Raw genomic sequence first — 24,690 nt, 5'->3', positions numbered from 1 at the left:
GGCAACATGCACAGATCCCACATGTATAGCCTGGTGATGGATCCACCATCCCAATCAAAATATAGAACCATTTCTAGCACCCCAGAAACCTCCAGCACCACGGATTTGTTTTTCCACTTTTTAACTTTATATAAATGGAATCACACAGTATATACTCTTTCGTGTCTGGTGAAAGTAGTTATTTATTTATTTAGAGAATGGGGTCTCATTCTGTCACCCAGGCTGAAGTGCAGTGACACGATCATAGTTCAATGGAACCTCAGACTCCTGGGTTCAAGCGATCCTCCCACCTCAGCCTCCTGAGTAGCCAGGACTATAAGCATGCACTACCATGCCTGGCTAATTTTTTTATTTTTTATTTTTGTAGAGACAGGGTCTCACTATTTTGCTTGAACTCCTGGGCTCAAGCTATCCTCCCACCTCGGCCTCCCAAAGAACTATCACAGGTGTGAGCCACCACACCTGGCAAGTATTTAGTTTTAACAGTATTGTCCAGAGGCAATCACATGTTCGTTTACTCAGTAAGCATTTTCTTGAGCATCTACCATGCACCAGCACTTCTCCAGGCACTGAGGAGTAAGACATGAGAAGATGCCTGCCCCTCATAGGGTTTGCTCTCTGTGGTATATTTTTTCGTGGCTAGTCAAGGCTTCATGTCCACTACTACACAGAGGTCTGGCCTGAGCTCTTGGCCCATCTGCCCGAAGGCCTGCAAGTAGACACCCTAATAATTTAAGACCTTTTAGGAATTTCAAATTATAAAAAAAAGTTGGAGGACCTAAATGGTTATCCAGACCAATAGCCATTTTTCAAAGGTAGAATCAGAGACCCAGAGAAGGTGCTCACCAAAACTTTTGGGGAGATGAATCACCCAGAAAGAGGTTTTGTAGCCAGAAGAAGAACCTCAGGCTCTTTCCAGACCCTGATGTCTAGAATGTTCTCCAGGTTGCAACACTGCTCTCTAACAAGAAGGCCCCTGACCTCCTGCAGAACAGGTTAGGATGGTATTTATGTTTTACTCTAGAGATGATTTTATTTTGAGGCCTTCTAGATACTCTGTGAACCAATGAGAGAGGCTGGGAGAGTGGAGTGGCAGGGGTGGAAATGACCAGAATCTCTTCTGTAAACAAAGAAGTGCAACCGTGAAAAGTAGGGGAAAGATTGCATGCACAAATCAGAAAAGAAATATCGCTTGTGCTGCTAAGTTCCAGGGGAGATGAGTTCACAGAAGCCACATTTGCCAATCTGTGGAATGACCAGCATGGTGCTCAGAACACCTTCATAGAATGATGAGTCAACTGGATTTCAACTTATTTTATACCAGGGATTGCACGTCCTATAAAAAACAAGAACAACAAACCTTGGGATATGAACTGCAAATTCATCTAATTTGAGCAGATGAAACTGATATGGTCTCTTCAAATTCAGTAGCTCTTAAAAACATGCTGGGACTATAAGAGCCTAAAGACATCAGTTGCCTCAGTTCTCAGCATGTTATCAAGATGTGCCTCTTCTTTCTAAATACGTGAGAGCCCACCATATTCTAGGAACCTGTGGTTACTAACTCACCTAATCTTCACACCGGCACAGTAGAGTGTCATTATCATTTTGCACTGAGGAAACTGAGGATCAGAAAGATTATGTAACATGCCAAAAGTCACACAGCAGGTGAAGCAGATCTTGGGTTCAAGTTTAGTTCTGTTTGACTACTCCAAACCCTGCCCTCTATTCTCTGCTGGGTATCCTCCACCTCTCCCCCACAGAATCCCTCTTTCAACTTCTCATCCCTCAAAACAATGACAGCTAGAGACCCTCCTCTTTCATCCTAAAACCCTGCTCAAAAGTTCTGAGCCCCAACCTCAACCCTTCCATTAATTTGCTGAGGTGGCTACAAGCAACCTGAGACTCTCCCATATCTTATTTTTCCATCTTTAAAATGGAGTTATTATATCAGTCCATCACGACTTTATTCTGTGTGAAGCATAAACAGATGTTATTTCAATCCTACTCCGTCTTCCTCTATTTGGGGGAAGTTTAACTGAAGAGTTTTACAAGATAGCTCACTTAACATTATGAACTGCATTCTGAAAGACTATCTGCTGGTCTACTTTACACAGCTCTTTTTAAACTTCCATATGAAGGGACTGGTGAATCTGTTTGAAGATCTATAGTACAGAACAATTACTTGATAAGCGCTTATATTGCACAAAGTGGCATATTACAAGGTAGGACTAGGAAGGAGCATTACAGGAAGTTGCTAGATATGAATAGCCAGATTACCTGGAAAACATACCTGGACACTCATAGGAAGTTTGTCCTATCCTCTGTGTGAAATTGCCTGCACATTCACATAGTTAGCTGGGGTGTGGGGAAGAATGGGTTTGCTGACACCTGAATTTTGAGAGAGAATGAGGCTTGGGAATCAGATGGGGCACACAGCAGCTGCAACTGCCAATCAAAGTTTTGTTGTTACAACAGAAGTGATTGCTGTTTTTTAAATGGGTTTTCCCAGCTTAACACAGAAACTGATCTTCATTACACTTGATGCTTCTATCCTGATAGCGAGTGAGAGACAGACGAAGAGATTGTTCTTCAGGGACATTTACTCTGAACACTTCATTATCCTTCTTGAGGCAAGCTGGGTAGGCAGAGAATGTTCTTCCATTGGGCAGAATTATGAGAAGCAAAGATTTGCACCTATTACAACAAACTAGAGGGAAAGAAGGTGAAATGAAAAGCCAACATTTTCATGAAGTTATGACTCCCTGTGGCACCCTGAGGAGTAATGGGTGTCTGGAGGCTGAAGGATGGAGAGGTTCCTGAATTTGGGATTTGCTTGTCTCCGGGAAAGAGGGACTGAGATCAGTGTAAACTTTCCTCAGGCTACACGCACACAACCATCCCGCTTCCTTCTGGCTCTCAGCACAAGTGGCCCAGGCACCTGTAGCAGACCCTGTATTTAAGAGGCATCCTAGCTCCTTAACAGCCTGACTTGATAAATTACACCATCAGCCCTTGCACACCTAGGAGATTAGATCCTGCCCCTAGGCAGATGAGAGCTGCTAGACTCTTCCTCCTCCTGCTGAAATTCCTCTCTATCCCTAACCTAACCTTACTTCCTCCTAGATATCTTTCAAGGGTGGGAGAGGAAGGAAAATGTGCTTAGAAACTCCTTTGCAATTTTTCTGCTGATTCTGAAACCCTAGTCCCCCAATCCCTCCAACCCCAGCACTGTATCACCAATTCTGAATACCCTAAGTTTCCAGAGTAACTCAGTTTTACTACTGGGAACTGGCTTCCCGTCTTCTCAGACCAGAAAGTGTTGAACTTTATTATTAGACCAAGCGGTTGCACAAGTGGCCTCAGTCAATATACACAACCCCCAAAAAAAGGTTATCAGTGGTATCCTCTTTTTGCAGATGAGGAAACTGAGGCTCCCAGAAGGGAAGCGTTATGCTCCTCCCCAGAAGCTTTAGGTCTGTGTGTGGTGGAAGCAAAGAAGCCCCTTTCCCTGTTCTTCTACAGGTCAGGTCCTAGCTTGCCGGTTTGGGCGCGCTTCCGCCGCCCTCCCCTCCTGCCCGTCACCAGGGGGGAAGCAGGTGAAACTCCAATAGTGCTGCAAGGCCTATGGCTTCCTACCTGGCCCAGGCCAGAGTGGGAAAAAAAACATCTTTCCCTCAGTAGCTCTGTCGACACCTTCTGTACTAGGAGTGCAAGACTTCTGCCACTGCTGCAGTGACCTCGTCTACAGAGCTCGTCCCCGGCCCAGGGAACCACAGATGTTCTGGAACTACGAATAAACCAGAAATGAGTGGGCCGGGGGGACCCTCGGCTGCAAGTGTCCACCCAGCTGCAGGTCAAGCTTTGCTTTCACTGCCTCACCATCCTAGTGCCTCACCATCCTAGTGCCTCACCATCCTAGTGCCTCACCATTCTGCCTCACCATCCTCCCCCAAGGCGGAGGCGCCTTGACATCCGGGTTTAAACAGGAGAGTGAGGAGCCCCAGGGGTCCAGCTCCCCAGTGGCGTGGCCAGGCTGGGCGCCGGTGCAGCCCAGCTGCTGGGGGAGCTTCACTTTGGCTACTCCCTCTACCCATAAAGTAGTCTCTTTCCAAGAGTTCTCCCGGACTCCTTCACCCTCGCCTACGCTCTCTGGCGGGCAGTTCTGCAAACCCAAACCGCCAGACCAGGCCAGGGAGGTTCTGGGGCCTGGAGGTAGTAACCGAGGTAGAAATAAATGGAGTCCCTCCAGGGCATGCTCACCACACCTAACGCTGCCTCACCTCCCCCGTGGCCTCGGCGCCCCTTCCTAAGTGGTCAGTTTCTCTTCCGCCCTGCGGGCTCTCCTGGCCCACCACCTGCGTCGGCCGGGACGCATCCAGGGTCTCTACTCTTCGCTTCCTCCTGCGTCCCCTTCTTCCACGAGCACCCCAGCTTCCTCTGGCTCTCACCTGAACCCCGAAGCGTAGTGTCTTCTCTCTGGACTAAAGCGGAACTGAGAACCGGTGGAAAAGCCCCGCGCCTAGGCTGCAAGGCACTGGCTTAACAAGTCCAAAGGTTAGGTGAAGTTTGGCTGATAAGCAGAACCAGTAAAAGAAGGTCTCTAGCCCCCCAGCGTGAGTACAATGGACCCTGGCAAAGCCCCGCTCCCGGCCCAGGTCTTCTGCTCTCCAGGTCTGCCCCTCCGGCTCTCCCTCTCTCCGGGTTTCCCCCTCCCCACCATCATTTGCATCCAGCCGAAAGCTGGGCCCTTCCCACTAATTTGCATATCTTATATGGCCTAATGGTGGCGATCATGGCAAGTTAGAAGTTTTCTGACTCCTTTCGGAGGAGCCTCCGGGACCCCGGGGAGTAACAGGTGTCTGGAGGCTGAAGGGTGGAGGGGTTCCTGGATTTGGGGTTTGCTTGTGAAACTCCCCTCCACCCTCCTCTCTCGCACCCACCCACCCCCTCACCCCCTTCTTTTTCCGTCCTTGGAAAATGGTGTCCAAGCTCACGTCGCTCCAGCAAGAACTCCTGAGCGCCCTGCTGAGCTCCGGGGTCACCAAGGAGGTGCTGGTTCAGGCCTTGGAGGAGTTGCTGCCATCCCCGAACTTCGGGGTGAAGCTGGAGACGCTGCCCCTGTCCCCTGGCAGCGGGGCCGAGCCCGACACCAAGCCGGTCTTCCATACTCTCACCAACGGCCACGCCAAGGGCCGCTTGTCCGGCGACGAGGGCTCCGAGGACGGCGACGACTATGACACACCTCCCATCCTCAAGGAGCTGCAGGCGCTCAACACCGAGGAGGCGGCGGAGCAGCGGGCGGAGGTGGACCGGATGCTCAGGTAGGCGCAGAGCGAGGTGGAGGGGACCCACCCGAACCCCTGGAGCCCCGGCCCCGGGCCTGAGTGACACTGCGCCCGACCACACTCGCCAAGCCCGTTTCCCACCAGAGAAGTCCCCCGGGGGGCGCTCTGCTTCTCTCCCAACACCCGGACCCTTCCCAATCCCTTAGCGGGACGACCCTGCGGCCCACCGGGCTTCTTCTCCCCAGGCCCAGGCCAGCGTCCGAGACCCAAGGGCTTTTCCCCGCGGGGCTGGGGCTGGGCCGGGGAGAACTGGAGCTGTGGAGCCCTTTGCCGGGAGGTTTGCCCACGCGACTGAAGGTGCGAGTGGGTGCAGTGAAACCGCTGCGACTTCCCGGGAGCAGAGCCTCGCGCCGCTGCAAGCCCCAGGCCGCGCATTTTTCCTGCGCCCTGCCTCGGGTCTGGAAAGCCGCATGTCGGCCTCGGACACATTGACCTGCATGATGACCTGCAGTTCTTTGCCGAAGGACAGGCGGCATCCGGAGCCGGGATCTGGGAGGCGAGTTCCCTGGTGGGCACTCTTGTTAGCCGCGCCCATGCAAGGCCCGGAATTATCCGGGATCCCCAACGCGGGTTTAGATTTGCAAAGGGCATGTTCCATGCAGGGTCCGGGTGGACACGCGCGGGGCCAAAGAAACCAAGCGCGGTGGTGTGGGGGCGAACGCGTCTCAGACCTCAGTTCGCAGAGGATCTGGTCTCAGTCTGAGAAAGGAGGGCGTTTCCAGACCTCGCTGCCCACCCCCGGCCTCTCCCCGGGAGTTCAGGCCGGCTGGCAGTGTATCCCCAGGGCCGGGATCGTTTGTGGGTCCTCCCCGACCGCCCTAGACTTTGACAGCTGGTTACTAATTATCTAAGGAGCCGAGCGGTTCCCTGAGACAGCACGTCGCTCCCGGGCCACTCCGCTTTAGGACAGAGCCCATCGCGTGGCTTCGGACACTGAAGCGCTGCGATTTCGGGGCTGAGCCTTGGCCGCACGTCCGCAGCGGCGGTTTGGGGTGGGATATGACCTTGCATTTGAATTTGTGCTCCGAGGGCCTGGCGGTTTGCCCTCTAGCCAAAACAATCAGGGGAACTTGTAGATTTTTTTTCCCCAAACACACTTTGGTATAATTCATAGGTTTGAGGTTCTTCCCTCGTCGCTCTCCCGCCCGGAGGTGATTTCTCCCCTACCGGGAGAGAACTCCTGCAAGAGAGTTCCGCGAGGCGGAAGGTGTGAGTCGCGGAGGCTAAGAGGGGTCGAGAGAGTGGCCCCTAGGAGCGGCTGGGGCGCCAGGGCTGCCGGGGAGGTCGCTCAGGACCTGGCGGATGAACCAGGCTCCCACCGCCGGCCACCGGGGGCCACAGGGCCTAGGCCCTCCCACTCGGCCGCAGGCGCCCGCTTTCTAGCGCGGCGCTGGAAGGACCTGGGGCGCCCCTCCGCACCCAGCCCCGCGCCGGGCTGGCCGCAGCTGAGACGTAACATAAACTGCAGCACGTGGAGTTGGGGTGTTATTAATTTATTTCTATAAATCATCAACAGAAAGATACACAAAGAGCCGTGATTAGGTTGAAAAGAGAGGCGGGTTATTCATTGGTGAAGTTGTAAACGCGGCTTAGAGGGGGGAAGGAGATCAAAACGCGGGCGCGGGGCTGCTCGCCGCTCCCAGCGCGCACCCAGCCAGGCGCCCCGTGCGGCCCTGCGGCCTCACCGCTCTGGCGCGGGACGCGGGCTCTGTGAGCGCCCGAGCCGCCCGCGGAGCCCCCGGGTCGCCGACACCCGCAGGCCCGGCCGGCGGAGAGCCAGGCCCGGCCCAGGGTCCTTAGACCCCAGCCCCGCTCTTCCCTCCCCAAAGCCCCAGGCCCCAGCAGGGCAGGGAGAGGGACTGGGGAGCCGGAGACCCTCGCCGAGTTGGAGACGCGGGACAGACCTGGAGGCTTTTTTCTCCCGTCCCGAGCGGGTGCTGCCTTTCCTCCCCCGCTCCCGGGAGCGCCGGACTTGATTAAAGTAATTTTTCAAGAAATCGCTAGCGGTTCCTAGGTCACTGCACAGGGGGCTCCCAAGCCTCGGGCACACGCACTCCCTTCTTTTGCCCACCGTGTTCCCTTAAGACGAAAAGCAAAGAGAAAGAAAAGTCGCGTTTTGGAGTTCCCGGAGTTCTAGTAAACCTCCTGGAAGAGAAAGGCAGGGGAGGAAGGTCGGGACTGCGCGCTTCCCGGTCCCCGGCTCCCGGCCGGAGCTGGCCTTTCTCGCGGCCTCGAGGCAGGTGCGCCGGGGGCGTCTAGAAAGTGGGCTGCATTCTAAGAAGCCGAAGTTGGGCTCCTTAACGAACGCGCTGCGGACTGCGCTGGAGTCCAGGCTTCTCTGCTCGTGGGCAGCAAAGTCATTGTTTGAGAAGGAGCGTGCGGGACGGACCCTGCGGGCGCCGCGGCCGGCGTTTGACACCTGCGCTTGGGACACAATGGCCGCAGGCCCTCTTCGGGACCGGTGCCTTTCTCGGTGTTAGGGAACCTCTGAACCTGAGCTGTGTTTTCAAACAAACAAACAAAAATAACCAGCTCTCCCGGCTCTTCCCGGTGAACACACGTGAATTTTGGGGTCAGAGGGTTGTGAAGGTATAACTGCGCCATCTTACTCCTCACTCTTTTAAGTCGGACTTAAAAGGTTTTGCCATTATTTATAAGGTTCTTGGGGGCTTTTTTTAAACCCTCCCCAATTGTTGGGCTAATTCACTGTTTCCACAGAATCATTCCCACTTAGAACAGTACCCTATTTTTCTAGGTTTCTTAGGCATACAAAATGAACACAGGTAAAGGCATTTAAACAAAAGAAAAATAGCCGAAGAATTTGCTAAAGCAATATTCACTTTTAAAATGCAATTTTTCCCCTAAGGTTCGAGGAGTCTTGTTCGTAGCCGTTGAAAGTATTTTTCCATCCTAAAAATATCGGTGGAAATATTGACCAGAAATAAACTTTTAAATGATCTGTGATGTTTACAAGGATATGTCTAAAACGTTTATTACATTATTTTCCTCTTAATGTGAATTCTCCACGTTTGAAACTGTAACTCGTTTTCTCATTTTTTGTTCTTCTTGTTACTTCCTCATATTGTGTACTTGGAAATTACCTTTGTAAATACTTGAGAAATTCGTTCTTATATATAATTAATATAAAAAGTTTGCATTTCTCAAAAACATCTCTATCAAAGCCTGTGTTCTCACGAGTTTAATATCAAAGTCTTAATAAAATAATCACAACTACCCAAATGCTTATAAAATATGTTCGATTACTGGATTTTTATTCATTAAACAGAATTAATTTTATTTGACATATTTAAAGGCGCCATTTAGAAATAAAATTGCTTATTATGTTGCAATGCTGTATCTATTTCAGCCTCTACACCGTTTTCTTTTTTGTTTCACCTGAAACTAGTTTTCCCTTCCGTTTTTTTTCTTGTTCTATCAAGCTAATATATATATCAACATACAGTAATGGGGTGCTGGTTTTTGTAAGTTAAATATGTACCTGCATTAAATAAATAGTAAACATGTATATATTGCTTCTTTAGTACTTTTGTTCTGTGCTGCACACTATTTTAATTTCTAGTTTTAAATTATATCTCTCTTTTCAAAGCATCTGTTCAATAAGCAAGAAAAGATATTGGCAAAGTTGAAACCATTCTAGACAAATAAAATTCAAAGGTGCTAAAACTAGCAGTTTACACACCTGTGTTTATGAGAAATGAAAAGTATAACCATGTTCTTATCCAGTATTTAAAATTTATGAGAAACATAATACAGGAAAACAAGCATCTAAAATTGTTAATGTCCGAAATTGAAGTTATTTGTCCCCATTAGCCCAGTAGATTTTGTCTGGAAGGTGGAGCTGTGGATTTTTTTTTTTTTTAACTACTTGCCTCACCTCAGTGGTGTGATCCTCCCGTCCCAAGGAGATACAACATTGTATTTTGGAAAACTTTTCTAAAACTCTGAAAATTATTTACTATTTGGCTAAGACATCCTCCTTGCTTCTTAGAAGGTGAACACATACATTTCACCCCTGTTTTATAAGAAATGGAGATACCCATTCAAAAGGAAAATAATGTAGGAGAGGTTGAAGCTAAAATTGGGCAAATTCAGAAACTGATGCTATCCCTACTTCATTGTAGGATCAGGGAGTCCAGCCCCAAGCTAAAGGCATCCCCACTTTCCAGTGGGCCTCCTGCCTTTTAAATCTCCCACATTGCAGGAAAATGGAGGAAAGCAAAATAAAATGGCCAGGCGCGGTGGCTCACGTCTGTAATCCCAGCACTTTGGGAGGCCGAGGCAGATGGATCACCTAAGGTCAGGAGTGTGAGCCCAGCCTGGCCAACATGGTGAAACCCCATCTCTACTAAAAATAAAAAATTTAGCTGGGTGTGGTGCTGGGCATCTATAATCCCAGTTACTCTGGAGGCTGAGGCAGGAGAATCGCTTGAACCCAGGATCCTGGTGGAGGTTGCAGTGAGCCAAGATGCCGTTGCACTCCAGCCTGGGTGACAAGAGCAAAACTCCACATCAAAAAAAATAATAATAAATAAATTAATTAATTAATTAAATAAAACAAGAGCTTTTCTTTTTGCTTAATAAGAGAGAGTGGTGGTGGTGCTTTTTTATTCCTGAAGATGGGAAGTCCTCTTTTGCCCACTAACCTCAGAAGAAAGGGATGAGGTGTACCGTACAGGGGCAGTCACCTTCTCCTCTGTTTAGCTTCCATTTTGGCCTCATGTCTACCCCAAAGTTGTAGCTTAGATGGGGGGAAAATTCAGAATTTTGCATAGACCATAGGTAGCACCCCCTAGAAAAAGAATGTTTCTCCCCAGATGTCTCCCACTAGTACCCTAACCATCTGCTTGTCTGTCTAGTGAGGACCCTTGGAGGGCTGCTAAAATGATCAAGGGTTACATGCAGCAACACAACATCCCCCAGAGGGAGGTGGTCGATGTCACCGGCCTGAACCAGTCGCACCTCTCCCAGCATCTCAACAAGGGCACCCCTATGAAGACCCAGAAGCGTGCCGCTCTGTACACCTGGTACGTCAGAAAGCAACGAGAGATCCTCCGACGTAAGTGTTTTCATCCTGCCTCTGCCTCAACCTGAAGTGACCTTTGCCCTCTCACCCCATTGGCTGCCTCAGTTTCCCTTTCATCGACAAGGCCTTGTGAGCACTTGGCAGATATGAGGAAGGTGGCAAGTAGATTTGGCCTTGGTGGTTGCTGTACAATGGATTGGCTTCTGTCATGTTCTTCAGTCACAGCCCCCTTGCTACCCAGCCAGTTGCTCTGAGGAGCCTGTCAGTGTATGCAGCATACCTTAAACTTTTTGGCCCCTCCTTCCACCTCCTTCTCTTTGAAACCAAGTAGGTGACAGAGTGAAATGTCTTCCCTGAGAGAAAACCCAGCATCTCCCCTTGATACGTGACCATCAGTCAATTTCCAAAGAAGACATTTCGTTGCAGTCAATAATATTGATTACTATTACTGTTAATTTCCTCCTCTCTGGAAAAAGTATCAACAATAGAATGCATTTGTATAGAGAGATATATTCAGAACTTCACCCTGTTCTTGGAGGATAGTGGGAGGGATTGAATCCTGAGGCAATTTAAGGTGTTTACCCACATTTACCAACACTGGTAGAGTGTGGGGACCTCAGCTGGTGGCCCTGCTCATGAAGAAGCTATTTCTGGCTAAGGCAGGGCACAGGAAAAGCATCTGCATTTGGAACTCTGACCCATCAATTCTTGTCATCCCCATTCCCATCCCAAAGTTTTTTTTCTGTCCCAAGATTTCTCCCACCCAATAATTCTAAAAGGTTTTTGTTTTGAAGTACGTCTAGAGAAGTTTGAACTGCCTATGAATAACAAGAGTAGGAATGACATACTGTCTGTATTTTAGGAAAGTATTCTTTGACATTACACTTTCATTACTTTGATCCAATCCTTTTCCTGGAAAATTTGTATCGGTTTTCACTCTCCCCACACACTATCCTCTGGCTTTATCTAGGCTTCTCTGTCTTTATCAAGATGTTAATTTCCACCACTATCTGGGTTTCTGGGTTGGGTTTTTTCCCTGTTGCTTTTTAAAATGACTCTTGTCTTCTGTTACACACTGCTCTGAAGTGATTGTTTCAGTATTTATTGTCTCAATGTCCCTGGGCTGGTGAAAGGAATGGTTTTAGGTGTTCATTTCATATTGTGGTGTTTGTGCTTTTGTTGGGAGCATTACATGAATAGATTGGAAGAAGCAACATGAGAGCTGTTTGCTGCTTAGAGCGAGAGACCTTTCCAAGAATGGGTTGGCCCCCCATACTTGGTGACTAGCTCTTTAAGAATTTGTGTTCCTGACATGAAGCAACTCTCTGTAGTTCCTGGAAAGCCTAAAAAAATTCTCAGGAGCCATTGTCTCCAAAGACCCAACAACGCTTGGGCCCTGCCCAATTTAAGCTTTATGCAGCATTTCCAGTCTGTGCTGCCTCTCTGTATTCAATGAGAATTTCTTCAGAAAGGAGAAGGAGGCAGGAAAGGCAGACTGGAAACTTCTCAAAAGACAGAGGTCCAGAAAGTTTCTCAAGATGCTGAGGAAGGGACGTTTTACAAATACAACAGCCTCTTCAAGAGATTGTTGTTATTGTTATTTTTGTTTTATTTATTTATTTATTTATTTAACTTTTTGAGACGGGGTCTCGCTCTGCCACCCAGACTGGAGTGCAGTGGCGCGATCTTGGCTCACTGCAAGCTCCGCCTCCCGGGTTCACGCCATTCTCCTGCTTCAGCCTCCCAAGTAGCTGGGACTGCAGGTGCCCGCCACCACACCTGGCTAATTTTTTTTTTTTTTGGTATTTTTAGTAGAGACGGGGTTTCACTATGTTGGCCAGGCTGGTCTTGATCTCCTGACCTCGTGATCCGCCGCCTCAGCCTCCCAAAGTGCTGGGATTACAGGGGTGAGCCACCGCACCCAGTTGTTATTTTTGTTTTAAAGTCACACGAGACATAAAAGCTTAAGAAACATTCCTTCCTTCTGTAACTATTATACAGGCACCTACTATGTGCCAAACACTACGCTAAGCTATGGAATACATAGGTTCTTTTCTCCAGGGACTTACCTGCCATCCAGTGAAGAAGTGGAGATGTTTGAGTAAATAATGACATTCACTTTCTAAGAGCTGTTATAAAGATATACACAAGGGGCAGCAGAGGAATTGCTAAATTGCCTGGAGACATCATGGGAGGCTTCCTAGAAGAGGTGACATTCAAATCATGTCTTGAAGGATGAATGTAAGACATGCAAGCATGATATAAGAATTAGGAAGTAAGAGAAATAAAAGAGGGACACAAGTGAATGGGGTGAGGAGAAGGAGGAAGAGGGGAGAGAATAAAAAATGATACATGATTACAAATTTCCTGGAAAAACTAAAAATAACAAATGGTAATATTCATGGGCCCCTCTACACACACAGAACCTCCTTGTCCAAGCAGCCCCCAAGCCTATAAAGAGGCTACTGAAGCCAACTTCTCCAAGATAATTTTCATGGGCAATGAACATTTTCTTCCCCAACCCCAATTAATCTGAAGGGAAGTAGAGAAGAGTTGTTGGTGGCTAGAGGGAGCAAATGTGGGAGTCTAGTTCTTCAAAAATTGGGAGAGGCTAGAGCCAAGCCCCTGATGTCAGTGGAACCCGAATGGTTCTGAGCACCTACAGGCAAACCCACCTGGCTGATTTGAGGACACACTGAGTTCTGAACACTGTTCAGCCTGCTACCTCCTCAAAGGGCAGGTGAGAGACTGAGGCAGCCCTCACACTGGGGAGCAGCTGCGAGAGTGTCTCACACCCACCAGACACAAAGCTTCAGGAATCGGTTTTGTCACCTCCACACAAGTCAGATATGAAGCGTTTGCGGGGTACGTGGCTTGGGTTTTGTTTTTAGTGAGAGGTGATGCACAGGCTGGTAGTTAGGAGCCTGCAAGCCTGCAGGCTGGGCTCGTGTCCAGGCTCCTGCCCCAAGTCCACATGACTTTGGACAAGTCACTTCACCAGTCTGAACCTCAGTTTCTTCATCTGTAAAATGGAGGTGGCTGTACTTCTCACATGGAGCGGTCGTAAGAATTAGATGAAGGAATATATTTAGAGGATTTGGCACAATACCTCACCACAGAAAAGGTTCAATAAATGTGAACCGTTATTGTGTCTGTTCACATCAAATGAAAAAATCTCACATTGCTCCCAGGCCCTTGGGATGATCCACACTGGCTTTCGCCATTGGTGACTCTACTGGTGCCACACAGGGCCCACGGGGAGGAGGGAAGACACTGTGACAGACCTCACTGAGCAGGGGACATCTCCTTCTCCCCCTTGGATTTCCCCTCAAGTAACTGCATTTAGAGAGCTGCTGTGAAGTCAAATACCATAGAGGGGCTAAAGCACTTTGAAAAGTATAATCAGGTGGGGCATGGTGGCTCACGCCTGTAACCCCAATGCTTTGGGAGGCTGAGGTGGCGGGAAGACTGCTTGAGGCCAGGAGTCTGAGACCAGCTTGGGCAACATAGCGAGACCCCGTCTCTACAAAAATAATTTTTTTTAATTAGTCAGATGTGGTGGCCTGCACATCCGTAGTCCCAGCTACTTGGGAGGCTAAGGCGAGAGGATGGCTTGAGCCCAGGAGGTCAAGGCTGCAGTGAGCTATGATCGTACTACTGCATTCCAGCCTGGGTCACAGAGCAAGACCTTGTTTGAAAAAAAGAAAAAGTATAACCCCCAAAGGAATTTGGGCCAACATCACTATCATCCTGACTAGGGGTAGATATTCTAAAAGACTAGTTAGTGTCCCTAAGCTTTCAGTCAGTCTCATTCCACAGCTGGGGAGACTAAATGATGAGGGAATTAAGCTGGGGCCCCACATGATCCCACTAGCAGTGACTTCCTGCTAGTACATTTGACAGGGACTCTCTCAGGTCTATAGTGGCATTGTTGGGCACCACTGAAAACAGAGCCCTAAGGTGGCCTAAGAATCCTCCAAGGTGAATGGGCCGAAATCAAAGGCCCCAGTGACACCATCAGTCCACAGTTAAACAAAGCCCAACACCACCTGCAGTTGGGATTGCAAGTCTTGGCGGGCTAGGGGCCCTAACCATTCCTCCCGATGGAGCAAAATGGAAATGAGCCTAAGACAGGTGGTAAGTTCCCTGCTGCTGGAGGCATATAGCCTGGAGGGCCACTTGGTGTGGGGTTGTAGAGGGGATTCAAACGTTAAGTAGTAGCCTGACTTGAACCTTGAGGATTTTGGATCCAGTTGTCCAAAGGAACAGGAAGGATGGCATGTAAATGATGGCACATCATTTACATCACAAAGGGAGGTGGTAGCCTTCCACTTTCTGTGACCTGTGGGAGTAATTACAGGAACTGAGAAAGAAAGTCATCAAGGTCGGGCACGGTGGCTCACACCTGTAATCCCTGCACTTTGGGAGGCTGAGGCAGGTGGATCACCTGAGGTCGGGAGTTTGAGACCAGCCTGCCCAACATGATGAAACCCCATCTCTACTAAAAATACAAAAAATTAGCTGGGCATGGTGCCGCACACCTATAATCCCAGCTACTCAGGAGGCTGAGGCAGGAGAATTGTTTGAACCCGGGAGGCGGAGATTGTAGTGAGCCGAGATCACACCACTGTACTCCAGCCTGGGCAACAAGAGGCAAACTCTGTCTCAAAAAAAAAAAAAAAAGATATTAAGATCCAGAACATAGGGACCCAGAGCTAGGAGATGAATGTATTACGTGTCTTTGCTCAGCAGAGTGCTTAGCCTCCATGTTTATTCATCTTTAAAATGGAATTAATCACTCCTGATGAGCCCTGCTTCATGCAGATGTGAAGACGAGGACAGCAAAGCTTTCTTCTTCGGTAATGTAGATATCAAATCTCATTAAACCATGTGGGCTAAGGCATCACCTCTGGGCCGAGCTGCTGGTTCTCATTCATTCCACAAAAATCTCCTGATGGTCACAGTATGCCTGGACTCAAGGAATTGGACAGACAGGGAGCATCATTTCCAGCTAATTAAACACTACTCCCAGACAGGTCCTGTGTTTGTAGTCTTTGAAATTATTTTGAGATCTAAAGCACATTTTCTTTTTCCAATACAAAGCTCCAGTTATATTTATTTCAAAGCATGTTCCAAAAGGTTTGGGGTTTTTCTAAAAACCTGACTTTATAATGTAGATACCTAGGATATAGGAAGAGGGAGGAGAGGTGGGGAGTGCTATCTACAGCCTCTGAATATTTTGTGCAAGTGTAAATTGTACCTTTGAGCAGTTCTCCCCTGGATGTGAGACTTGATTGAGCTCACCCACTTGACATCAAATACAGGAGTTCAGGATGCAGAGTGTTGCTTCATCTCTGAAGGCCAGTGAGCCAAAGGGGAAAAAATAATAATTTTCTTAAAACTATAGCTGGCTATGTTTGAGCTCCTTCAAAGAAAGGAAAAGGGTGGCTTTGCTGGAGCAACTGAGGTGGGCAGTAAGGGCCTGTGCTGAGGGCTCCCCATCTCCAGCTCCACATGCAGTGAGAGAAGGTTGCAAAGCTTAGTTAGACGAGGGGAATAAAGGTGTCTTCGTCCGTTGTCTGTCTGTCTGTCTGTCTGTCTGCTGAGTGAAGGCTACAGACCCTATCAAATCTACTCCTTTCTCTTTTCAGAATTCAACCAGACAGTCCAGAGTTCTGGAAATATGACAGACAAAAGCAGTCAGGATCAGCTGCTGTTTCTCTTTCCAGAGTTCAGTCAACAGAGCCATGGGCCTGGGCAGTCCGATGATGCCTGCTCTGAGCCCACCAACAAGAAGATGCGCCGCAACCGGTTCAAATGGGGGCCCGCGTCCCAGCAAATCTTGTACCAGGCCTACGATCGGCAAAAGAACCCCAGCAAGGAAGAGAGAGAGGCCTTAGTGGAGGAATGCAACAGGTAACACCACCAGAAGCTCACCTGGGCAGGTGGGCAAGTACACAGACCCAGGAACCCTCCCCTCGGTCCTGGGATATTGAGACACTAGTTATACAGATAAGTGTGGCTAAATCAGAGCTTCTCAAAGTATGTTCCACAGAACCCCAATATCAATTCATTAATCAGTAAGTCTGAGAATCAGCATATGGATACTTCCCCTTAGAGAGTCACAACATATATTAAAGGTTCCGAGAAGCCCTGCAGTCAAGAAACCCACTTAGCTTTGTTGAATTGGTTGTTAACTATGGAATCTTCGGTAGAGTACAAACAACCCCATGAATTATTCTTCCAGGGAAGATACTCTGGAGAATGCTAATTTAAAATATGATACTTGGGAAGCGAAATTGTGTGTTTGACCTCCCTGCAGGCCAGGGTAAAACTTTCCCTTAGCCACAGACTCTAGATCTGGCCTCTACCAATTGTCAGACATGCAGTGGTCCAAAAGGAAACTTGGCAGGAGAGTAAGAATTGGTCAGATCTGTTCAGTCCACTCTGCCCCCGCTGACTCAACAGAGTTCTTTTTACTTGTTAACTACCAGCCAGGCACGGTGGCTCACACTTATAATCCCAGCACTTTGGGAGGCCGAGGCGGGAGGATTGCTTGAGCCCAGGAGTTTGAGACCAGCCTGGGCAACATGGTGAAACCCTATCTCTATTTAAAAAAAAAACAAAAAAACAAAAAAACAACTCTGTGTTATTTTAAGTATTTATTTTTAAAATGTGGTCTTGCTATGTTGCCCAGCAGATCTTGAACTGGGCTTAAGCGATCCTCCTGCCTTGGCCTCCTAAATAGCTGGGATTACAGGCTCTAGCCACAGGGCCCAGCTATTTTTTTTTAAACGATTGGAAAGCCTTGGGAAATCTTTTTACTTCATTCCTGCCCTGTTCTCCCTGACTCCAGTATTGACTTTCTAAAACTTCAGCTCTTTGGTCTGGCCAAGGCCTGTGTGCGCTTTCTCTGTCTCTGGGCTGGGCTGGCCTTGGCTGTGGGAAGAATGCAGCCAGGGAGGTCAGGCTGGGAAGCAGGGAGGCCTGTATTGCCACTGAGTCCTCAGGCTGTGCTCCATACCCCGACTAATGAGATGCCTTGCAGCACCCAGTAGTGTCTAAGAATCTCTCGCACCTGGTTTTGAGGTTTCACCAGCCCTGATAAAGCTAGAGACTGGCCATCTCAATGCACCCTGCTTTGTACCCCACCCAGCCTGCCTTTTGGAGGGGATAAAGCATCTTGCTTCCTGGCACTCTTTCAGGGAGTTCAAGCCCCAAAAGACCAGAAATCCTCTCGAAGTGCTTTGAAGCCACTCAAGACAGAGCCAGCGAAGGGCTTTGCCTTTTATGTGGTGGGAAGAATGGCTAAATAAGGAAGCCCCATCTGGACCTTCCCCTGGACTGCCTGTCCCCGGCTTGCTCTCTTCTCCTCGAGAGCCACACCAGAGCCTAAGCCCCTGACTCCCAGGGCGGCATAGCCTGCTCTGTCCCTGCGTTCAGGCCCACTTCAGCCATCTTCATCAGATCACTCCATGGATTGGCCTTTTCTCTGCATAGGCCTCTCCTCCCCAGCCTTCCATTCTGCCCACGGCCCCTTCATACTCCCAACCAAGACTGCTGTGATTGTGTGTTTTTGGCCAAGCACCAACAAGTCCCCCCGCCCCCCCTCACTCACCATCTCCCCTCCATCCATTCCCAGGGCAGAATGTTTGCAGCGAGGGGTGTCCCCCTCCAAAGCCCACGGCCTGGGCTCCAACTTGGTCACTGAGGTCCGTGTCTACAACTGGTTTGCAAACCGCAGGAAGGAGGAGGCATTCCGGCAAAAGCTGGCCATGGACGCCTATAGCTCCAACCAGACTCACAGCCTGAACCCTCTGCTCTCCCACGGCTCCCCCCACCACCAGCCCAGCTCCTCTCCTCCAAACAAGCTGTCAGGTAAGCAAAGGTTGGGCCTCACTGCCTCGGCAACCCAACCATCCTGGTTCTTGCCACGGATCTTATCTGGTTTAAGGGTTTTCAGAGGAGCAAACGCTTTTGAGATGATCCTAGGGCCGCTCTCTCATTGCCAGAATATACTCCCCTGGAAATAATGTGTGGCTCTGATCAGTTTCCTCCAACTCCTGGTTCAGCCATTGCCCTGTGAGGGCTCACTCGGCTTCCAGGGAGCCCTTTACCCTATTTGTCTCCTTCCCTCTTCTTCTCCCTGTGTGGCTGCTGACTCAGCGGTCATTCTACACTGAGGAGGCTGCCTTATGGGTGGGCCAGATCCAAACCGCAGGCAAACGGGTCGTGATGGCGTGGCAACCCTCACTGTGTTGGAGGATGGCACTCCGGCCACCTCCTCCATCTCTGGCCATATCCTGCCCCTCGCTCGGTCCGGCTGCCTCAGGAGAAGCTCAGTAGCCTTTGGGGACGGCCACTCTGTTGGTGGCCTCTGCTTGTTGGCTTCCGTGTGTCATCAGGGTTGGTGGGGGTCAGTCACTTGAAATCTTTGCAGCAATGAGTTGGGAAAAACTGACCGAGTACCTGCTCCATCATGCTTGATTGAGTGCTCCTGTGTGCTGGGCCCTGGCCTGGATTAGAATGCCTCTGCTGTGGGCTTTGGGTTTGTCAGGATGGAATCCTACAGCCTCCTTGGGGGAAAGCACACCTCATGCTGAGCGCTGTGTTAGGCACAGGCTGGGATGGAGCACTTCTTCTGGTCCTTCATTCTTCTGGCAAAGCTGGCTTCCTAGAATGGATGTGCTCACTGGGGTCTGTGTGGTGCCCATGAGGACAAAGTGTAGCAGCCTCCTGCCTGCTCCAAGAAAAGGGCTTGCGAAAGGAAAGCCAAACACTGTTTCTAACTCAGGGGTGATTCTGAAACCTGTTGGCTCCCCTCACCTGTCGGTTGCCCTTCTGATGAGAAAGGCCTGAGGGCTGGGGGCTGACCCAAGTGTTGAGGGGACCAAAGCCACCAAGACAGGCTCGGAGCCATCAGCTGGGTGGTGTACAAGCATTTGTTCCATGCCTGCTGTGCCCTCCCATAGCACTGCCTCTTCCAGGGCCTCTGGGAGCCTGACAGTGCCCAGCATGAAGGTGGGGCCAGTGCTGGGGGTTTCTGTAGGTCCCACTCCCACAGAGGAGAGAGGCTCAGCCACACAGGAAGAAAGTCTTGGTTACTTAAGAGGCAGAGAAGCCCCTAGGCAAAGACTGGCCTGATTGCAGAGTAACTTCGCCCCTTTAGGGAAATTCAAAGCAGGGTTCTGAGGGTTGTGGCAAATGGCACATGGCTGGCACTGAGCAGTACCAGTGTGCTTGCCCACCACAGCGATCCACGGAGCTGAAGCTGGGAGCTACAGGGGGCGTGGTTGGGGCAAGGGGCATTACTGGGAAGACAATGGCCATTGTGTTGGGACCTGTGATCTCCACACCAAAGTCAGGGAGCCTGGAAGCCAAACAAAGGCCCAGCAGCCTTCTGACAAGCAAGGGCTGTGCTGAGGTCACCACGGGGTCGTTGGTTTAGGCATCCTGTGTGCTGACAGGAGACCCAGAGAGCTAGGGCTGGAGGGACAGGGAGCAGGGCAGAAAACACAGCCTGTGTACTCCTCTGACTGGAGTCTAGGAAGGGCGTGTCCCATGGGAAGTGGATACTCTGGGGTGCCCCTGAAGTCTGGATCTTTCTAAAAATCTTGTAATGTTAGAATTTGGAGGGAATTTGAAGAAAGGAACTGAGGCCCAGAAAGAGGCAGTGATTTGCCAAAGTGACACAGAGCAATGGTAGCAAAACAAGGACTAGAGCTCAGGCCTGCTGGTTCCCACTCCATACTTTCCCACAGCACTACGATGTGTTGAATGCTTACCAAGTCCTGGGAATATGCTAGTGATGTACGAGCTGCGCGTCCTGCCCTCTGGGAGGTTACTGTCTGGTAGGAAGGATATCGGGTCACTGTCGAGTCCCCAGAACCAGCTGCAGATGGAGGTTTTGTTTGGGGGCTTTGTGGATCTTTCTGCGGTGTAATAGATCCTATTACTGTTTCTGGAGCAACAGTTATGGGACACTGAATATTATCAGTGGCTGCCTTTCTTCTGTCTTTTTTTTTTTTTTTTTTTTTTGAGAGACAGGGTCTACCTCTGTCACCCGAGCTAGAGTGCAGTGGTGCAGTCTTGGCTCACTACAGCCTCGAACTCCTGGTCTCAAGCAGTCCTCCTGTCTTAGCCTCCCAAAGTGCTGGGATTACAGTTGTGAGATTGTGCCCAGCCCTTCTGCTTTAATTTTCACTCTGGGCTCCTCAACATGGTCCTTGTCCCAAGCCCAGGGACTGGCTTCTCTTTCTCTGAGTGTAGTTATGTATCTGGGTTCTAACCAGTAAGGTTATAACTGTGGCTAATTCACATAACTTCTCTGAGTCTGAATTTCCTGCCTACAAAATGGAGAAATAGGACCTTCCACACAGGGTGCATGTGAGGATGAAAGGAGTGAATGTATAAAGACACCTTTCCCGATAACCCATACTACCCTCATTATGACTCTTAACATTAGAGAGGGCTAAACAAGGGCAGTGAGAAGACTGGCAGGCAGCAGAAATCATTTTCTTTTTGATCTCACACACCAGGGCATTCCCCCTAAGAGGCAGTGAGATGTAGCCTGGCCCTGGAACTAGAAACAGAGGTGGCTGCTGTGCTAGTGCCTGAGATGCACGATGCTGGGGTCAAAGACTTGTGTCCCCACCTCAGGCTGCCAGGATGGCGTGTGTGCCGTGACAGGGCTCCCGAGTCATGCACTCAGGCAGACAGCAGGCTGGAGCCCAGCATTCAGGGGTGGCTTCTGTCTGTAGAGCCGCATGGCACTCTTCCCACCTCAGTGCCCACAGCCAAGGTAGGGTCACTAACCAAGCCAGAAACGTAACTGTGTGCAGAATACCGAAAAAAAAAAAAAAAAAAAGGCCGGGTGCGGTGGCTCACGCCTGTAATCCCAGCACTTTGGGAGGCCGAGGCGGGCGGATCACGAAGTCAGGAGATCGAGGCCATCCTGGCTAACACAGTGAAACCCCGTCTGTACTAAAAATACAAAAAATTAGCCGGGTGTGGTGGCGGGTGCCTGTAGTCCCAGCTACTTGGGAGGCTGAGGCAGGAGAATGGCGTGAACCCAGGAGGCGGAGCTTGCAGGGAGCAGAGATCACGCCACTGCACTCTAGCCTGGGTGACAGAGCGAGACTCCGTCTCAAAAAAAAAAAAAACGCTCTGTGGGCTAGGTGTGGTGGCTCACACCTGAAATCCCAGAACTTTGGAAGGCCAAGGCAGGCAGATCACTTGAGGTCAGGAGTTTGAGACCAGCCTGACCAACATGGTGAAACCCCATCTCTACTAAAAACACAAAAATCAGCTGGGCGTGGTGGCAGGTGCCTGTAATCCCAGCGACTCCGGAGGCTGAGGCAGGAGAATCGCTTGAACCCGGGAGGCGGGAAGTGGAGGTTGCAGTGAGCCGAGATGGGCCACTCCACTCCACTCCAACCTGAGCAACAGAGCAAGACTCTGTCTTAAAAAAAAAACAACAAAAAAAACTCCATGTTGCTGAGGAGAGCCCAAAATCCACCGTCAGCACTAGCAACCCCAAAGACTGAGCTGGGGGGAACAAGGCCCGAATCCCTCCACACCCACTCTCCACGCTCTCCCCTCTCCAAACATCAGCACCTGAGCCAGGAGGGCTGGCAGCACCTTGGAGACGAAGCTTCCCCAGAACCCTCTTCCTAGAGAGGAAGAGCAGCCTTTCTCTAACAGCACCTTCCCTCCCAGCCATGCTTACCATGCTGTGGCCCACTTGCCCACGATGACCACGGTGTGACCCTAGTCCTGGAATGTCCGGCACAATAGGGGTGGCAGGAGGAGCACTCTGCCTCTGTCAGCGGCTGATTGGTTACAAGATGCCCTACAAACACACTGTCAGCAGAGTCAGCTGTTTCCAGCGTTGCCCCTCCTTGGCTTTACAATCACACACCAGCATGCAGCCAAGGGTTGTCATGGCTTTGTCTCCCTTATGCATGCTTAATTGACAATTAAGTTGGGGCTTTGAACCAGCCTGGCTGCCGCTGCTGGGCCTTCATCTTTCCAGGGAGTGTCACAGGGGCACCCTTTGTTTGCTCTTCTTGGGGGCCTGAAGTTACTGTAGCAGGCTGCAGGCAGCCATTTATCTTCAGCCTGGAAGGCCTTTATCCGCCCCCACCCCCTATTCCAGCTCTTGGCCAGCAGGAGCTGTCCCTGGTTATAGGCTCCATGACAGCCCATTCTGAAGCCATTGAGCAGGTCTGGAGTGATGGCCTCTACCTCCCTTCTGGAGATGAATCAAGAGAAAGGCCCCTAAAAGGTCAGAGGGCAGGGCGGCAGCAAGGAGAAGGACTGGTTGGAGCCTGGTGCTTGTATTGATTGGCTCGAGGAGGAGGAGGAGGAAGTTGGCGCGGGATGGAAACTTGGCTAGCCTTGGCCCAAGCTGTGGTATCTGCTGTGTGATCTGTGGCGACCTTGCTCCCTGTACCCTTTGCTCTAGTCGGCAGCAAGCTCACCTGGCCACTACCTTGAGGAGGAGAGGAGGGGTAAAAGGTCTTCATCAGCCTCCGCTCTCCCACGCATGATGTCCTCACTCTTGTGTCACCTTTGAGAGGGAAGGGGGGACTTATTCTCCTGGAAAGAAAGTGAGGCACAAAGAAAAAGAGAAGAGGCCCTGCCAGGAGGACTTTCAGGGGTCCCGAACCATAGCCCCTTCACCAAAGAGGAGACATTTATTTCTGTGGCTGCTGCTCCTCCCTTTCGCTGAACTCTATTCCTCCCTCTCCAAGCCCAGTGGACTTGACTTCCCTGATGTGGCTTAGAGCTTGAAAAACAGAGAATCCTGCCTCCTGCCTCTCGCTCATCCCCCTTCACAGCCCCTCCCAGGTTACCTGAGGGAATCTAACCCTGGGTCTCAGACCAGCCAAACTCTGGGCCAGGGTACCTATGTGAATGCTGTTGTTTTCCCTGGCACTGAATTCTGCAGGACACGAGGAAATCTCCAAAGTGTCCAGTGGCAAGGTAGTGACTCAACGAGAGGAATTCTAATGGCCAGTGTTGATGGAGCACTTCCTTGGTCCCAGGCCCTGGGCCGAGTTCCTCCATGCATCATCTTATGTGACCCACACAACAGCCCTGCAGAGTAGGAGCCATCTCTAGTGTCATCTTCATTTTACAATCAAGAGAAGTGAACTATTTAGAATGGAAGGCATGTGCCCAAGTTCATATTCTTAGTAAGTGGTGGGGAGAGGTTTTGAGCTGTTGCACACTGTCCATCTCTTTTTGCTTTATGCAGATGCTAAGAACTTTTCAGGCACTAAACCCAACACAGAGAGAGAGAGAGAGAAAGACACACACACACACACACACAGCCCCCAGCAGTTCCTTTTCCCACATTCCTACTGTTCCCCTCTAAATGACACTGAGGCTTTGGGAGATCATGGCCAAAGAGGTGGGGTAAGGGTGAGAGTCTCCCATTCTGGGTAGTTTACTACTTCCTCCCCAACCACTGCCCCTGACCAAGGTGGATTCTGTGCCCTGCCCAGGCAAGAAATCAAAGCCCCCTCTTTCATGACCCCATCCCCATTTGTGTGGGGATTTGAACTGCCCTTGCAGTCGGCACTGTCTGGACTACTAAATGCCTTAACAACTTAATGGGGCTTCTGAGACAGTGCAAGCACCTCAGCTCACCTCTGGGAGCTCCGCCCCCTCCCTGGGCAGCAGACAGCGGGAGGGGTTTATGAGGGTAGTTGTAAAAATATTCATCTCAGCAGCAAAGTTCCTCACGGTAAATAAGGCCCATTGTCCTTAAGTAGCAGATTATTTCAGTTCAGAAGAGAGACAAATCCTGCCTTGAAATGTCTGCTATTCTAGGAAACACATTCATACTGACTTGAGGTTTAGTGGCGGACATGGGTGGCTCCAGCATTCTCCTTCTTAGGGACTTTATCTGAGTGCCATTTTATCTCTTGAATTTGAAGGTCATTTTATCTTGTGGGTACCACCCCATCAGCTGCCACTGGGTTGGGGAAGACAATCAGGATATTAATGAGATTAAGAGGCCTAGCCTTCAGGGTGTTCTGCTGTCAGCCTCCCTCTGATAGGGGACCAGCCCTGGTCTGCATACAAAGAAACCAGGCTGCTGTGCTCGTGGGGCTCCAAGCCTCTGCACAAAGGGGCCAGGAGATACTGGAGTCCTATCACCAAAGGGTCATGCCTAATCCGCCTGAAGGATCCTTAGACGATTCAAGGACTCCTTGCCGCCTCCAGTGAGCTCTGAGGAGGAAGGAAGCTGCCTGCAAGCACACAGCCCTGGCCTGCAGCTTATGGGAG

The 24,690-nt window shown here is 50.1% G+C and overlaps 1 protein-coding gene across 10 annotated transcripts in view, besides 5 other annotated features; it reads left to right on the top strand.

Annotated features, from left to right (window-relative positions):
* HNF1B (HNF1 homeobox B) overlaps window positions 4,806-24,690 on the top strand; it is a 58,629-nt gene continuing 38,744 nt past the window's right edge. For 5 of the 10 annotated variants that reach the window (NM_001304286.2, XM_047436630.1, XM_011525164.1 and 2 more), the window contains exons 1-4: window positions 4,806-5,324; window positions 10,226-10,425; window positions 16,122-16,308; window positions 18,035-18,270. In NM_001304286.2, coding sequence (NP_001291215.1) covers window positions 4,981-5,324; window positions 10,226-10,425; window positions 16,122-16,308; window positions 18,035-18,270 — 967 coding nt within the window. In that variant the 5' untranslated portion in view covers window positions 4,806-4,980. Of the gene's footprint in view, window positions 5,325-10,225; window positions 10,426-16,043; window positions 16,309-18,034; window positions 18,271-24,690 lie in introns of all 10 variants that reach the window. The other 5 variants (XM_011525161.1, NM_001411100.1, NM_000458.4 and 2 more) reach the window with 1 other exon arrangement.
* Window positions 7,215-7,719: an enhancer, noted in NCBI's record as "H3K4me1 hESC enhancer chr17:36102137-36102641 (GRCh37/hg19 assembly coordinates)". NCBI's record gives its function as "activates a minimal SCP1, AML or CMV promoter by ChIP-STARR-seq in naive and primed H9 embryonic stem cells {active_cell/tissue: H9 hESC(naive and primed)}" and the evidence as "EXISTENCE:reporter gene assay evidence [ECO:0000049][PMID:30033119]".
* Window positions 7,720-8,222: an enhancer, noted in NCBI's record as "H3K4me1 hESC enhancer chr17:36101632-36102136 (GRCh37/hg19 assembly coordinates)". NCBI's record gives its function as "activates a minimal SCP1, AML or CMV promoter by ChIP-STARR-seq in primed H9 embryonic stem cells {active_cell/tissue: H9 hESC(primed)}" and the evidence as "EXISTENCE:reporter gene assay evidence [ECO:0000049][PMID:30033119]".
* Window positions 15,254-16,457: an enhancer, noted in NCBI's record as "BRD4-independent group 4 enhancer chr17:36093401-36094600 (GRCh37/hg19 assembly coordinates)". NCBI's record gives its function as "activates an origin of replication core promoter dependent on BRD2, P300/CBP, MED14 and CDK7 cofactors, and independent of BRD4, by STARR-seq in HCT116 cells {active_cell/tissue: HCT116}" and the evidence as "EXISTENCE:reporter gene assay evidence [ECO:0000049][PMID:35650434]".
* Window positions 17,595-18,261: an enhancer, noted in NCBI's record as "H3K4me1 hESC enhancer chr17:36091595-36092261 (GRCh37/hg19 assembly coordinates)". NCBI's record gives its function as "activates a minimal SCP1, AML or CMV promoter by ChIP-STARR-seq in naive H9 embryonic stem cells {active_cell/tissue: H9 hESC(naive)}" and the evidence as "EXISTENCE:reporter gene assay evidence [ECO:0000049][PMID:30033119]".
* Window positions 18,262-18,930: an enhancer, noted in NCBI's record as "H3K4me1 hESC enhancer chr17:36090926-36091594 (GRCh37/hg19 assembly coordinates)". NCBI's record gives its function as "activates a minimal SCP1, AML or CMV promoter by ChIP-STARR-seq in naive H9 embryonic stem cells {active_cell/tissue: H9 hESC(naive)}" and the evidence as "EXISTENCE:reporter gene assay evidence [ECO:0000049][PMID:30033119]".

The sequence above is a fragment of the Homo sapiens genome, chromosome 17 (assembly GCF_000001405.40).
Source record: "Homo sapiens chromosome 17, GRCh38.p14 Primary Assembly".
Lineage (NCBI taxonomy): Eukaryota > Metazoa > Chordata > Mammalia > Primates > Hominidae > Homo > Homo sapiens.
The sequence above is the reverse complement of the archived record's forward strand: the minus strand, read 5'-3'. Positions and strand labels throughout refer to the sequence as shown.